At 38.3% G+C, this 15,155-nt stretch overlaps 2 long non-coding RNA genes across 2 annotated transcripts, besides 1 other annotated feature; both read left to right on the top strand.

Moving 5' to 3' along the window:
* The first annotated feature begins 736 nt into the window (after positions 1-736).
* LOC105377125 (uncharacterized) lies at positions 737-8,339 on the top strand. Its single transcript, XR_940925.3, has 3 exons — positions 737-861; positions 6,969-7,091; positions 7,866-8,339. It is a non-coding gene; the product is annotated as an uncharacterized LOC105377125 (long non-coding RNA).
* Positions 8,340-10,094: 1,755 nt separating this feature from the next.
* Positions 10,095-12,212, top strand: LOC107986017 (uncharacterized). Its single transcript, XR_001740438.2, has 3 exons — positions 10,095-10,224; positions 10,865-11,445; positions 11,917-12,212. It is a non-coding gene; the product is annotated as an uncharacterized LOC107986017 (long non-coding RNA).
* Positions 14,090-14,290: a silencer, noted in NCBI's record as "peak4686 fragment used in MPRA reporter construct". NCBI's record gives its function as "represses an SCP1 promoter by STARR-seq MPRAs in K562 erythroleukemia cells {active_cell/tissue: K562}" and the evidence as "EXISTENCE:reporter gene assay evidence [ECO:0000049][PMID:32103011]".

The following is a 15,155-nucleotide window of genomic DNA, read 5'->3' as shown; positions in this document are numbered from 1 at the left end:
TATGAGAAGTGTCTGTTCTGCTGTTTTCTTGTGGTTGCTTGTGTTTCCTTTTTTGGTATTATCTTCTAACTGGAGTTTCTTGGTAGGCATTAGATTACATAGTCCACTGTTCATTTTGGCAATTTAGTTATCATTGGATAATATGACTTTAGTGTGATATGTCAATGAGAAGATGTGAGGGCACCTCTGTTCATGTCTCCACAGTCCAGAACTCCTGAATGGTGCCCAGCTTACCTGGTGAGTGAGCCAGGATGACCGGGGTCACCAGGGTGAAAGTGTCTGTTGGTGTTACTGCACCTTAACTTTTAAGATAATAAATACAAAGGAGACTGATGGAAAGTAATACAGGATGAGTTTGGAGAGGATGGCAAGGCGTTTTAAGTAAGAGTAAAGAGTTTTGCTTTATCCTAAGTGCAAGGAAAATCATTGAAGGGTTCATGCAGATGGGTGATATGATCATATTTTTGGTTTTTGTTTTGTTTTATTTTTTGGAGAGTGCTTATTTTTAATTTTATTCTTTTAAAACTAAGGCACATTTGACAAAAAAACGCATATATTGATGGCATATGAGGTGATGTATTGATATAGGTATACGTTGTAAAATGATACAATCAAGCTAATTAACAGATCCATCACCTCACATACTTATTTTTTGTTGTGAATAGAGTTGAGATCTAATATCTTAACAATTTCCAAGTATTCAATACATTATTATCAACTATGGTTACTATCCTACAACAGATATCCAAACTTATCCAATTTGTGTTTATCAGATCACTTGGGTCTCCATGTAGAGAATGCACTGAAGAGGCCAAGGATGTAAGTCCAAAGCCCAGGGAGGAGACCACTGGAGTAGCTCAGGTAGCGTGGGGAAGATTGGAAGCAAAATTAATGGGGTTAAGTGTTAGACTGGACGTGGGGTGAAATGAGGGACAGAGGAACCTTGGTTGATTTATGGTTGCCAACTTCTATGTGAGGTATCCTTTCTTATCCAGGATTCAAATGTGGCTACTTTGAGAACCATTTCCAAAGCCAGCTTATTGGCCTCATCTGCTGCTAACATGCAGAGTTTAGCTTTTGCCTGTTTTTGGCAAAAGTGTGACTCACCATGTCAGGAGCATAGTGGGCTTGACTTAAGAGACTGTCAAACCAAGATGTTCCAACAGCTTTTCTTGAAAGTGAATGGATCACAACATTTTCAATAAAAGTTTATGGCTTTGGAATAAAAAAACAAACAAATGAGTTGTGACATGTTAATGATACTCATCATTTTTAGAAGAGGACGGTGAACAAATACATTGTCTTGAATAATAGAAATGTAAGTAAAAAGTCTAAAATACAGGATGACTAAAGACTTTCTGATGTGGACCAAAAATTATTGAATATAGAGCTAAATGCATTTTGACCAGATCTTACAAAAATACAGAATATCAACAGTAACATATCTGTAATATACAGTTGAAAGCCTGGCACCATGGGGATGCTCTGAATGAGATTCTTTCAGCTAAAAGTCTTGGCTGTCTTCAGTACCATCTTGCAAAGTGTAATGTCTTTTCACATTTTCAATTGAAATGAGCTAATAATTTGGCCTAACAGCCTGGTGCTGCCTAAGAAGTCCTCTCCCACAAGTCTTGAGTTTTGCATGTGAACAGTTAGTCATTAGTCTTCATTCTGTACCACTTACAGCTGGTCCTCATATTGTTCAAAGCAAGTGACATCATGAGTTTTCCCAAAGATTGTTAATGTCAGTGGTAATACACCAGCTTCTAATGATTCTAAATGCCCTCTGAAGTCCTCTATTCTCCCCCCAAAAATGTATTAACCTGAAATCAAAATTATTAATGGTTTGAGTATTGCCAACAGGAAATTCAGTGTTCTGTTTGTCTTTATAAAAACAATTTTAAAATCAGTATTATTTATAATATGCTGTCAATGTGCCACATTTGTTTGGCATATCCTCCAAAAAGGTTACATAAGCCTTTTCTTCTTCCAGAGGAAGGTTTTAATCAGGGATTTTTCTCTTGTATTTCATCTGACATGTTTAAGGACTTACTAACCCTTCCTCTGTCTTCTTTTTCTCTCTCTGCCACCTTTTCTTCTTCCTTCTTATCATTCTTCTTCTGTCTCCATGTCTTCCTCCCATTCTTCTCCAAGCAGCTGATCTTTGAGCTCTTTCATATGTGGCAGGTGACAAGGGCCCTCTACCTGAAGATCAGATAATTAAATGGGGGAGACCAATTCAGAAATAAGAAATTTCAGTATTAGTAAAAGGGACTCTGACAGACATAAATGATTAAGGAGACTTATGGGACTATCTGACTCCTATCTCTTCTCTGTTTTATTCATTCATTCATTCATTCATTCATTCAGTTAACAAATATTTATGGAGTCTCTATGTGCCAGACAGATAGTACTTAGAAATATGGAGTTTAAAGCCTAGGAGAAAAGGCAGTAAAAAATAATTGGATATATAACAGTAAAACTGCAATTGTGGTAGATGTACTCATGGAGAAGTTGCAGGTCCTGTGGGATCGCATAACAGAGGTAACAAACTACCTAGTTTGAATGCTGAAGTTTGGCTTCTCCTAATGCCTTGACATTTGCACTGTGACTTGACGGATGAAGGGAAGAGAGAGGTTAGAAATGCAGTGGGCAAGGGGCAGGGATGTGGGTCAAGGCCCCGTGATGAGGGAAAAAACCAGCATGGCTGAAGAATAGTCAGCTAAGGGAAAAATGCTGAGCAGGAGCTAGGGAGCTGCGAGGCTGCGCAGGACTGTGTAATTCATCCTGCAGATCTTGACCTTAATTTCGAGAGCCATGAGAAAACATTTAAGCAGGAGATAGACAGCATCTTGTTCGTTTCAGCATTTTGCTTTCCCTTAAAACTCCCTGGCCTTGACTTTCAGCCAGTTTCTCCAATGGATCTGGCAGCTGTGGGATTGGAGATCAGTACCTAGGAATAGTGTATTAACTGTAATTAGAGTTCATATACTGACACCACAAGCCAGAAAAACACACTGACCCTGGAGCATGGCCCAAGGACTTGCATGTCTACTAGTAGATATGGTGCTTGTGTTATGGAGGTTTACATAGTGAGGGTTGAAGGCAGCAATCAACTCAACACAATTTCTTGCCATCATGTTTGTATTATAGCCTGTGAAGCACTTGAAATGTTGTAGCTTTGATAAAGCATTTGTAAAGCACATTTAGATCAGCAACCTTCCTTTCTCTCTCTCTCTCTCTCTTTAAATGTGGAAGACTTCGTGATATTCACACCAGCAATTAGAAGTAAATGCTATATAAACTGATGACAGGTACCCTATTTTAATAAAGTTTAGCACTTTTCTCACCGTGTGTGCGTGTGTGTGTGTGTGTGTGTGTGTGTGTGTGTGTGTTTTAAAGGCCTCTTACCGTGGGCTAATTAGATTCTACCTCAGAGAGAAAGGGCACCTAGTCTCTTGAAAGTCTTTGAAATTGTTCTGCAGTTGAATGCGTGGTACTATATCTAAGTCAAGCAGGGTTGCATGTTACCACATGGGCAATGCAGCATCAAAGACTATGCTTAAATTGAAACAAAATTCTTTATTTTTGTTGTCATAAGAATCCCCGGCCAGGTACTGTGGTTCATACCTGTAATCCCAGCACTTTGGGAGGCCGAGGTGCCAGATCATGAGGTCAGGAATTCGAGACCAGCCTGGCCAACATACTGAAATCTCATTTCTACTAAAAATACAAAAATTAGCCAGGCATGGTGGCAGGTGCCAGCAGTCCCAGCTACTCAGGAGGCCATGGTAGGAGAATCGCTTGAACCCGGAGGTGGAGGTTGCAGTGAGCCGAGGTTGCACCACTGCACTCCAGCCTAGGCGAAAGAGTGAGACTCCGTCTAAAAAAAAAAAAAAAAAAAAAAAAAAAAGAATCCCCCAACCTTGAGTTTAAATTAAACACCAAAAAGAGCAAAAGAGCCAGGTAGAGTTGCCTTCTGATGTTTTCTCCTGATCTAAAAACTATTTTTAAAATAAATGTTTATGAGAGTTGTTTTCCAAGGAGAACCATCACTTCATCTCTCATACCATTCAAGATTTTCCACAACAAATTATTTTTTGTTTTGTGATTTTTGTTTGGTATGGAGATTATACAGAGCAGCCGTAGGTACTGAGGTTATTATATTCTACCAAGTTTGATTTATGAATTCCTTTTTTTACTATCACTATCATTCATTTGGGCTTCAAAATTGATCCTCTTTGTTATGTACATAGAAAGGATAATGATCATTTATGTTCAAGCAATTCATTTAGCTAAAAACCAAGGCTGGAATATTCTTACTGCTAATTTAATTCCACAAGTTGGAGATTATTTTCAATTTTTTTCCATTCATACTAGACATAGACATACAGAGCTAAAATCAGCTCGAAGGATCTATCTGGTCCATCTCTTTCTAGTGTAACTGGTAAATCACAGCTCTTTGGGGATTTAGCTCTAATTTAACATCATTAAATAATTCAGTGCAGAGATCTATGAAAGTCAACAGAAACATTGTGAAATAATGAAAAAAAAATCCTTCCTTTTTGGAAATGGTATAGAATGGGAACTGCATATTGCTGGATTTTAGTACTTGTCTTAGATTTTTATTGCCTTTTCCACCCTCCTACCTAAGAAATGACAACTAATATATAACTAATATAAAGCTAGGGTTTGTAGTAGTAGCCCCTTCTCATCTGGTTTCACATAAAAAATATTAGTAGTGACACCCAAAGATAGTTAAAAAGAAATTTAAATCTCTTATGAAGTCTTTCAAAGAATGGCTGATGGAGACATTGTATAGCAAGACTTCTTCTAATTTGCTTTCCCTCATCTCTTTATTTATTTGCAGTTGCCCTCCATTTCTCTCTCCTCCTGTCTCTACATTTCCCTGAACTTTCCCATAATCTCCTCCTGCCTGAATATTTCTCTTTGCACTTCCCCTCTCTATTCACCCCTTCATTATGTATGTCTGCTTAACCTCTCCTATGTCTTTCAATTCTCTTGAGGCTATCCATGTGTAGATAAAAATCAAAGACAAGGCAATTGCAAAGTGAGTAAGAAGGCTTTCTCCTTAATAGGGTAGGTAAGTTCGAGGAGGAAGATATAACCTAGACCTGTGCTTTCCACAAATGAATGTGCACATGAACCACCTGAGGGACCTTGTTAGAAAGCAGATTCTGATTCGTTAGGTCTGGGATTGAGCTCATATTCTGCATTTCTAATAAGTTCTCAAGAGAGTCTCTTGCTGCTGGTCCCTGGACAAGTCAACCTAGAGACCAAAAGAGAGAAGTCTTGGATGTAAAGAGAGCAGCTAGACATGATCTCCATAAAGATGATGACAGTGTCTGCATTATTTACCACTGTAGCACATGCTCTGATACACAGTCCACCCTGTTCAGTAATTTGTTTATTTATTTTTGCCTGATGATCTTGAATACAAACTCTGAAGATATGTTCCTTTCTTTCCTTTCCTGTCTTCTCTTAAAACTTGAAATGCCTAAGCAATGCTACATTTCTTAAAGCAACCCAGTTTATTCCAGGCATCCATCTGGCATGTGATTTACACTGAATCCAGAGGCACTCAAGTATTTTTGTCTGACCCTTGCAGTCTTCAGAGATTCATTCTTCACTCCCAAGTATACTCACACCCCACACTTGGCCATAGCTCACTTCTGACAGGCCAGTTTGGATCTTAATCACAGCTCCCAAAGTTTTAGTTAACATAGCTTCATCCATGAACTTAATCAGCAGGCTCTCCACTCTAACATTTCAACCATTGATCAAACAACAGCCACTAAATCATAGAGAGCCCTGGTTGATCCCTGAAAACTATGCCCATGCTTGATGCTGGGCCATTGATGGAAACTATTTTGTACTGCCTTTTAACCACTTATTTACCAGTTTTATTTCAACCAGATTGTCTCAGAATAACTCATGTAAGACCTGATTTTATTTTAAAAATGCAAAAATTTGGAAGCATATAATATAATAGAATTTTTCTTCATTCTTTCCCTAATTTCACTTCTCTCCTCAAAGGTACTCACTAGATAGATTTTTTTTTCTTTCTGGAGCTTTTAAATTTGCATTTTGCATCTCTCTCTCTCTCTGTCTCTGTCTCTCTGTGTGTGTGTGTGTGTGTGTGTGCGCGCGCGCATATGTGTGTGTGTACTGTTAGAAATATTTACTGTATATCCATGTGCTCTTCCCAATTCCAGTTTCCTTGCAGCTCATATTGGCCTTGAGACTAGCTTAGGCCCATATACTATAAACAGAAGTGAGGCCAGGCACAGTGGCTCATGCCAGTAATCCCATCACTTTGGGAAGCTGAGGCAGGAGGATTGCTTGAGGCCAGGAGGTCAAAATCAGCCTGGGTAACATAGCAAGACCCTGTCTCTACCAAAAAATTTTTTAAATTAGTTGAGTGTGGTGGCATGCATCTGTAGTCCTAGCTACCTGGGAGGCTGAGGTGGGAGAATTTCTTGAGCCCAGGAGTTCAAGGTTACAGCGAGCAATGATTACACCACTGCACTCCAGCCTAGGCAACAGAGCGAGACCCTGTCTCAAAGAAGAAGTAATATTTGTCATTGCTGGGCTGATGCATAATGGTAAGAATGAGTTTTCCATGAGCCTTCTTACTTTCTTGTGAAGACTGAGGAGGCTCCATCTTCTAAATGTTACATATGCAATGTGATGGAAGCCTGGGTCCCTGAATGACTATATGGATTAGCATTCTTCTCTCATTGTGCATATGAGTGTTATATATGTACCATGAACAAACTATATCTTCCTTGTGTTTAATCACTGAGATTTCAGAATAAGCTAGTTACCACAGCAAAACCAATTATAACCTAATACATGAATCTGTACTTAGGATATTTTTAAAAAATTCAAAGGATTATAGTATATATATTGATCTGCAGCTTATTTTTTTCTCTTAACATTTCTAGACATCAGTCCTTGTCAGTACATATCAACTATCCTGATGTTATAAAGTCATACTCTCAGAACCATATTTTGACATGTTAATAACCATCCACTTAACAAAGAGTCTGACTAAATTTATTTATAAGGTAAATATTGAATATATACATGTCTGTAAGTATGCATCTGTAAACATTTGCCATTTAGTCATTTGTAAATGCATTTACAATAATTATGTATAATTTTGTATGTAAAGTAGTATAACATGACAGGTTCTGAGAGACTTGAAGAGCATTCTCATGAAGAAAAAAAGTTGAAAGACATTTTCTGGAGATTAAAAAAAATTAAGAAGCAGCAAAGAATGTGCCAAAAGGAAAAAGAAAAATAGCCACTTGTCTTTTAGGAAATGTCATAGAAAAGCATCAATTTGTTTATAGAGGATAAAATTTAGTATACCTAAATCTTAAAGTCAGGGGGCATAATAAAAGATGAAAACATAAATATGACAACTACAAAAATGACTGAAAGTATAGCTCATTTTAGTTTTCAAGAGATGATCAAACAATATTTTTACATTTTTAATGAAAATGTTAAGAGGTCAGAGTTCAATTAACCTAGCGATTTTATTCTTGAAGCAGACTCACAGGATAGGAAAACTACATTGAGCTTTTATTTCTATTTCTGTTCTATGAGGTTAGGGAAAGCTTCATCTTTTTTGGAACATTGCATATATATATTTTTTCTTTTTGTTGTTGTTATTTTTTAGCATCTTTGCTTTTCAGTTCCCCTTCATTAAGCTGTGAATGGTTGGAGCTCAATGTAAGATAAGACTAGCTCACAGAATCAATTCTGTGTGGATATTGTTGTGTTTTGGTTGTTCAACCTCATTGTCCTTTCCTAACAGTACCCTGATTTCCTTTCAGGGAACCCCATTTTATGCTGTCTTGGCAAGACAAAGAAAATCCAAGTTGTGCATGGCAGTAAAGGGGAGCCTGGAAGCATCTCTGGCAGTTCCTTTCTTTCCCAATTCTGAAGTGGGAAAAAGTGAGAAAGAAGAGAAAGTGGAAGTAATGATGAAACAAATGTGCAAAGACTGACCCTTACTGATGTGCATCAATGAAAGGAGGACAAAGCAGGCTTCTACCTCCTCTTCTTTTTGTATTTTCTTTCCTCTCTTCTCAGTTTTTCCTATTTCTATTTTTCTTTCTCTTCATAAGCTTTCTTCTCAGTTTTTACACTCCCACATTACATTTCATCTTGGTCTTTGTTTTTCTTCCAATCCTGTAATTTATTTGGTACCCAGGGGATATATCTCAGGAAATCTGTTACCCTATGTCTCTTTGCTGTCTAGTTATTTGACAATGTTTCCTTCTCTAATAAAGTTTTCTCCTTCTTTATGTTCCCTCTCATATGTTATCCCTTCATTATATTAAGATACTCAAAGAAAGGAAAATGCCTTGGCTGTCTTTTCCACCAACCAAGCTGGATGTAATTCCACTGTTTGCTGAGAAAAGAATTGCGTGTGACTCACAGGGTTTATCTTTGTCCGGACGCTCTGTTCATCACGGGTTATGTTGTTTGGCTGTGAAAGATGTATATTATGCCCAAATTATGTCATCTGCCCAAAGATTTGCAACAAAAGCTGGTCCTGGTACCTCCAACTTCTGCACATACTGATTGCTTTGTTTAGTTCTCTGCATCTAATTTTTATATTTTTAAATCCTCTCCACTGAATTTTAGCTGGAGCAGCACAACCCACCATAATTTAAACGGTTTTATCAATTGTGCACAAAAGGCCAAATAGCTCCAAGCACCTTGCAGCTCCCTCAACTGCGACCTCTATTCCTGTCTCTTATTCTTTCCCTACCACTACCCTTCTCCCCAGTACACTCTTCCTTATATTTTATAGTAACAGTACTGTTAGAAAAATAACACATAAAGGCAAATTCTACTGGAAATTGTAAACCACTGGCTGGCCATCAGACCAGTATCACTGGTATTATACAGACATCTATTATTTCCCAGCAGAGGAAACGGATGTTGTCAGAAGTTCTTATTCTGCACCCGCTATAAAGACAATGAGATTATACAAATGCATAGACTCAAGAAATATGATCAATGCCCTTGTGGTTTCTGTGATCGGTTTCTGTGATGAATGGCAAGCTGCTAAGAAGGATCATTTAAAGTGGAGGGAGGAAACCTCAGGGTTATATAAGATGGTGCTTTTTAAAGTCAGCTTTGAGTATTTCCTTGTGCGTTTCATGAATCTGATTATTAGCACTGCTCATGATGATATAGTGTGGCTATCTCAGAGAAATATTGGGGCACATTATTATTTGATTGAAATAAATGGGAAGAAAGAAAACTATACTCAAAATATCATTCTTTTTATACCAGAAAGAAGTTCAAGATGACCCGGTCCAACTCCCTTATTCTTCAATATAGAAGCTGAGTCTCAGAGAAATTAAAAGTCTTGCTCATGTCACATAAGCATTTCTAGACAAAATCTGCTCCAGGATCAAGATCTCTGGTCTCTAAGATTGGTGCCCTTGTCACCTCTTTGAAATTCATAAATATGTAATTTTTCTCTCATGCTAATTCTCGTGATAATTTTTGTATTTCTCTGCATCGCTAGGTCATTTTTGATAGTTGTAACAAATTCAACAAATATATATTCATTAACAATTTTCCTTTTTTTTTTTTCTGAGACAGAGTCTTGCTCTGTCACCGAGGCTGGAGTGCAGTGGCACAATCTTGGCTCACTGCAACCTCTGCCTCCCAGGTTCAAGCAATTGTCCTGCCTCAGCTTCACCAGTAGCTTGGATTACAGGTGCCTGCCACCATACCCAGTTAATTTTTGTATTTTTAGTAGAGATGAGGTTTCACCATGTTGGGCAGGCTGGTCTCAAACTCCTGACCTCAAGTGATCCGCCTGCCTCAGCCTCCCAAAGTGCTAGGATTACAGGCGTGAGGCCAACACCTTTACTTTTTAAAGCTTATATGCAAAGAATTATGCCTGTGTCTTGAATAGCAGTGGGGGTAGCACAGTTATGTTAGTTTTCTGTTGCTGCTATTACAAATAGTGAGAAACCAGGTGACTTAAAATCGTTCTTTTTTTTCTTTTTTTTTTTTTTATTATCTTACAGTTCTGCAGGTTAGAAATCTCACAATAGTGGTAAAAAGTTTTGGGATTTAGAGCTCACCTGGCTCAGTTTGAATGACAGCTGTGTGATTTTAGACAACTCACTTAACTATTCTGATTCAGTTTCCTTTCCGTAAAATGTGAGTATTGATAGTACCTGCCCCTTAGGGTTGCTGTGAAAATTATAGAAGTTGATTCACATTTTACATATAGAGCAGTGCCTGGTACATTGTAAGTGTGTGCGTGGGTGTATGTGTGTGTGTGAGAGAGAGAGAGAGAGACAGAGAGAGAAAGTCTTACTGCTATAATAGTTCTTACTCTAAAACTTGAACAACAGAATTCCTATTTGGGAGCTTACAGTTGAATTGTCAAGAAACAATATGAATCATCTGAGTATTTGAATGGTTTCAATAAGATGAGTGGGCTTGGTGTACAAGAGAAGGCAGGACTTTTTGAGCAGGGGGCAGCACAAGAAAGGCTTATATCCAAAAGGAAAGTTGAATCCAAATATGGTTTATCCAGCAAGCAAGCTGGACAAGTGTTGCAAATAGACCTAAACCCGTTTATTTGTTCACATGTGTCAAGGTCTTTCAGCAAACATGGTTAGCCCCTAATAATGAGAGCTGGGTGCAAGCTAGATGTTCCCTTCCCTGTGTATAAACTTTTCTGCCAAGTGGTACGTTCATGAGAGCAAGGCTCAAACCAATTTCTGCCACACTTCCAAAGGTTATTCACAAGTCTCTGTAATCCAATGGCCGACTCTGCTCTCTGTTGTTTCAGGTTCTCCAATATCATATATGAAAGGGTCAGTTGGAGACAGATGTGGCTATGATCTGAGGTAGCAGTAACCTAATTGCATCAGGCAGCAGGAATATCCACAATGTGCGCCTACACAAGACTGAATGACACCACTGTGGCAGCATCATTAGGCTCCTGGCTCACCAGATTCTTATGCCCCATCTTGGTAAGGGTGACAGCTCCTCTATAGCTTTTTAAATCTAATCCATCCTCTTCACCAATGTACAAATTATTTCCAATGTCTGTTATGCTGATTATGAATCTTCTGGTTATCTTTAGGTATACAGCCATGCACTGCATAAAGACATTTCGGTCACGATGCACCACATGTATGATGGTGGGCCCATATGATTATAATAGAGCTGAAAAATTCCTATTACCTAGTGATGTTATAACTACCATAATGTTATAGCACAATTATGGTATTTTTAAAATAAATGTAAGTAGACAGTGTTCATAAAGTTTACAGTGGTATACAGTAATGTCCTAGACCTCCACATTCACTCGCCACTCATTCACTGACTCACCCGGAGCAACTTCCAGTCCTGCAAGCTCCATTCATGGTAAGTGCCTAATGCAGGTCAACCATTTTTTATCTTTTATACTGTATTTTTACAGTATCTGTTCTATGTTTAGATGTGTTTAGATACACATCTAAGCACATGTGTTAGATACTTTCCATTGTGTTACAATTGCCTACAGTGTTCAGCAAAGTAACATGAGGTACAGATTTGTAGCCTAGGAGCAATAGCCTATATACTATATAGCCTAGGTATGTAGTAGGCTATATCACTCAGGTTTGATTGAGCCACACTCAATCATAGTGTTCTCTGGTTCTTTGTGCTTGTATATTTATTCTCTCATCCTAGATCGCCAATCTAGTCATCATAGCCTTGAGAAAATACCTGTAGTGGTTCCTCTCAAATTTTCATCAAAAATCTCTCCTCTGAGTTTTAGTCTTATATATTCAGTTACTTATTTTTCTCATGGCATATTCATAATCTCATATAGTCAATTATTTATTTTTCTCACAGCATACATGATATGATGTTTGCACAATGATGGAATCACCTACTGACAGAATGTAGTCCTGTCATTGAGACACGTGACTGTATTTTAATGATCTCCATCTTCTATGTAAGTCATTCCTCCCAGTGTCTTGGTCATGTGTTCCTGATTAAAAGAGGGAAAATGCCCTGATTGGATGAACTGAGTGTGTAGGTACGGCTTGTCAACTTTGAGGTTTACTTCACGGCATCTGGGTAGGTCATTTTTGGATGAACTCTCAATGTAAGTGTCTTTAGGTTCTTTTCCCTTGACTTGGTCAGGTTCCCAGGTATATTAAGGTTCTCTAGAGGGACAGAACTAATAAGATATATAAATATATGTATGTGTGTGTATATATATATATATCCTCCCAAATTTTCATCAAAAATCTTGTGTATATATACATATATACATACATGTACATATAAAATACATATATGTATATGTATATATGTATATAAATACATATATACGTATATATGTATATAAATACATATATACGTATATATATATGAATATATAGAGAGAGATATATAGGAGCTTATTAAGTATTAACTCACATAATCACAAGGTTCCACAATAGAGACTCTAGTTCTTTGTGTCTTATATTTATTCTTTCATCTTAGATCACCTGTCTACTCATCACAGCCTTAATAAAATAACCTGTGTTGGTTCCTCCCACATTTTCATCAAAAATCTCTCCTCTGAGTCTTCGTCTTAAATATTCGATTAGTTATTTTTCTCATAGCATATTCTATTTAATATAGTTATTTGCATATCTAATTGTATCCTCATTTTCTTCTTAGACTCTGAAGTCTATTAAGAAGAAACTGTGTCTATCTTCCTTACCATTGTTTACCTAGTATAGTACCTGTCACATGGTAGGAATTCAATAATGTTAATGTTAGTTCATGTTCACACTGCTATAAAGATACTACCTGAGACTGGGTAATTTATAAACAAAAGAGGTTTAATTGACTCACAGTTATGCATGGCTGGGGAAGCCTCAGGAAACTTACAATCATCTTGGAAGGCAAAGGAGAAGCAGGCACCTTCTTCACAAGGTGGCAGGAGAGAGAGAGCACAGGGGAAACTGCCACTTTAAAAACCATCAGCTCGCCGGGCGCGGTGGCTCACGCCTGTAATCTCAGCACTTTGGGAGGCCGAGGTGGGCGGATCACGAGGTCAGGAGATTGAGACTGTCCTGTCTAACACAGTGAAACCCCGTCTCTACTAAAAAATACAAAAAATTAGCCGGGCATGGTGGCGGGCGCCTGTAGTCCCAGCTACGCGGGAGGCTGAGGCAGGAGAATGGCGTGAACCCGGGAGGCGGAGCTTGCAGTGAGCCGAGATCGTGCCACTGCACTCCAGCCTGGGTGACAGAGCGAGACTCCGTCTCAAAAAAAACCATCAGCTCTCGTGAGAACTCCGTCACTATCATGAGAACAGCATGGGGGAACTGCCCTCACCATCCAAGCTCCTCCCATCAGGTCCCTTCCCTGACACCTGGGGATTACAATTCGAGATGAGATTTGGGTGGGGACACAGAGCCAAACCACATCAAATGTATACTGGATTAATGAATACACACACACATACACATACACACACACACACACACACACACACACACATGAATATGACTTAGATTTTGGCCCTATATTCTTCATTCTCCACCATATTATGCCCTTTTTCTAGGACTGAATTGAAGACTTTTCAGATCATTGATGACTTGTATAGATCACTGCCCTTGTTTTATTCCCCATCCCCGATATGTGCCCTTAATAAGGCTTTAGAGAAAAGATTCATCCAGATGGTAACATACGTTTAAAATCAGACAGCTGAGGAAAAAAGTCATCAATTATATTAGGGGAGTTGAGTGTTGAGTAAGAGCTTTTTCTAAAACATCCATTTGATTTGTGAAAAACTCCAAACTACCAGCACTTAATTTCTTGCTCCAAATCCCAAATTAAAAAAGAACCATGGTTCTCCTTTTTTCATGTTCTATAGCCTTCCACAGGGGAGAAAGCGCATCATGAGACTGATCAGGCACCACCTGATTATGGGTTCTTGCCTAGTTCTGGAGTCTACATTAACTCCTGACATCTTTATTTGTGGAAATATTACTTTGGGGAACCAAGTAGAGCAGACATGAAAACCAGAGGATTTCTGACAGCTTCCTGGCTTGAAGTTTCCTTTTTAGTTTTTCACATTGCCTGAGGAAGATAAGCTAAAGATTACTGAAAAGAAAACAAAGCTTTGCCAGGTACTGTGATATGGAAAGCCAGGGCTCGCTGTTCAAAGAAGTACACCTCCCATGCTGTTGAAACAGCCTTGCTTTATCATGTGTTGAAATCATATTTTAGACTCTTGGCTATTCTTCCATGTCTCTTGTGGCTGAGCCTGTCTCTGATATGAGTTCAGCTGGGCATAGATTAAAAACCAATTCAGTTCAAAGAGCATTTGAATCTAAATGCTAACTATTCTTGGCCAGTAAAACAACCCCATGGGAGACTTTTTTTTTTTTATTTAAATGATGTAAAAGTCACAATTAGCTTGATAATGATTGGTACAATTTAGTCATTAAAATAGTCTAAGCCATTTTATTCACATTTTGAGGAGTTACTATACAACAGAAGCTATTGTGGGTACTATAGATATTGCAGGAGGCAGAAAAGTTGGAGGAAGACAGAAAAGAAGCAAATATATTGAAAATAATTTTGATAAAAGAATGATTAAATTGTATCAATCATTAACAAGCTAATTGTGTTTTTTTAAAATCACTTAAAAAGAAGACTCCTGTGGGGTTGTTTCACTGGCCAAGTATAGTTCATATCGAGGTTCAAAAGCTCTTTGAACTGAATTGGTTTTCTATCTAGGCCGAGTCAGACTCATACCAAGGATAGGCATGGCCACAAGAGACATGAAAGCATGGCTGAGAGTATAAATACCATTTCATATAAAGAGTGTGATGTGATAGAAAACATCTTAGAGTAGGTGTATGTGTATAGGTTCTTTAGACCAAGGTGATCATGGAAGACCTGTTTGAGGAGGTACATCCATGCTGAAAGCTGGAGAATAACAAGGAGCTAGTCATTTGAAGACCTATGGAACAGCACTCCTTGTGGGAGAAATGAGGCCAAAAACTTAGGTCATTAGAGAACTTGGTGTGCAGGCAGAACTACAGGACCAGTGTGGCTGAATATAGTATGGAAGGGGGGATAGT

Source organism: Homo sapiens, chromosome 3, assembly GCF_000001405.40.
Source record: "Homo sapiens chromosome 3, GRCh38.p14 Primary Assembly".
NCBI lineage: Eukaryota > Metazoa > Chordata > Mammalia > Primates > Hominidae > Homo > Homo sapiens.
Note: the sequence above shows the minus strand (reverse complement) of the source record. Positions and strands in the feature narration are given on the sequence as shown.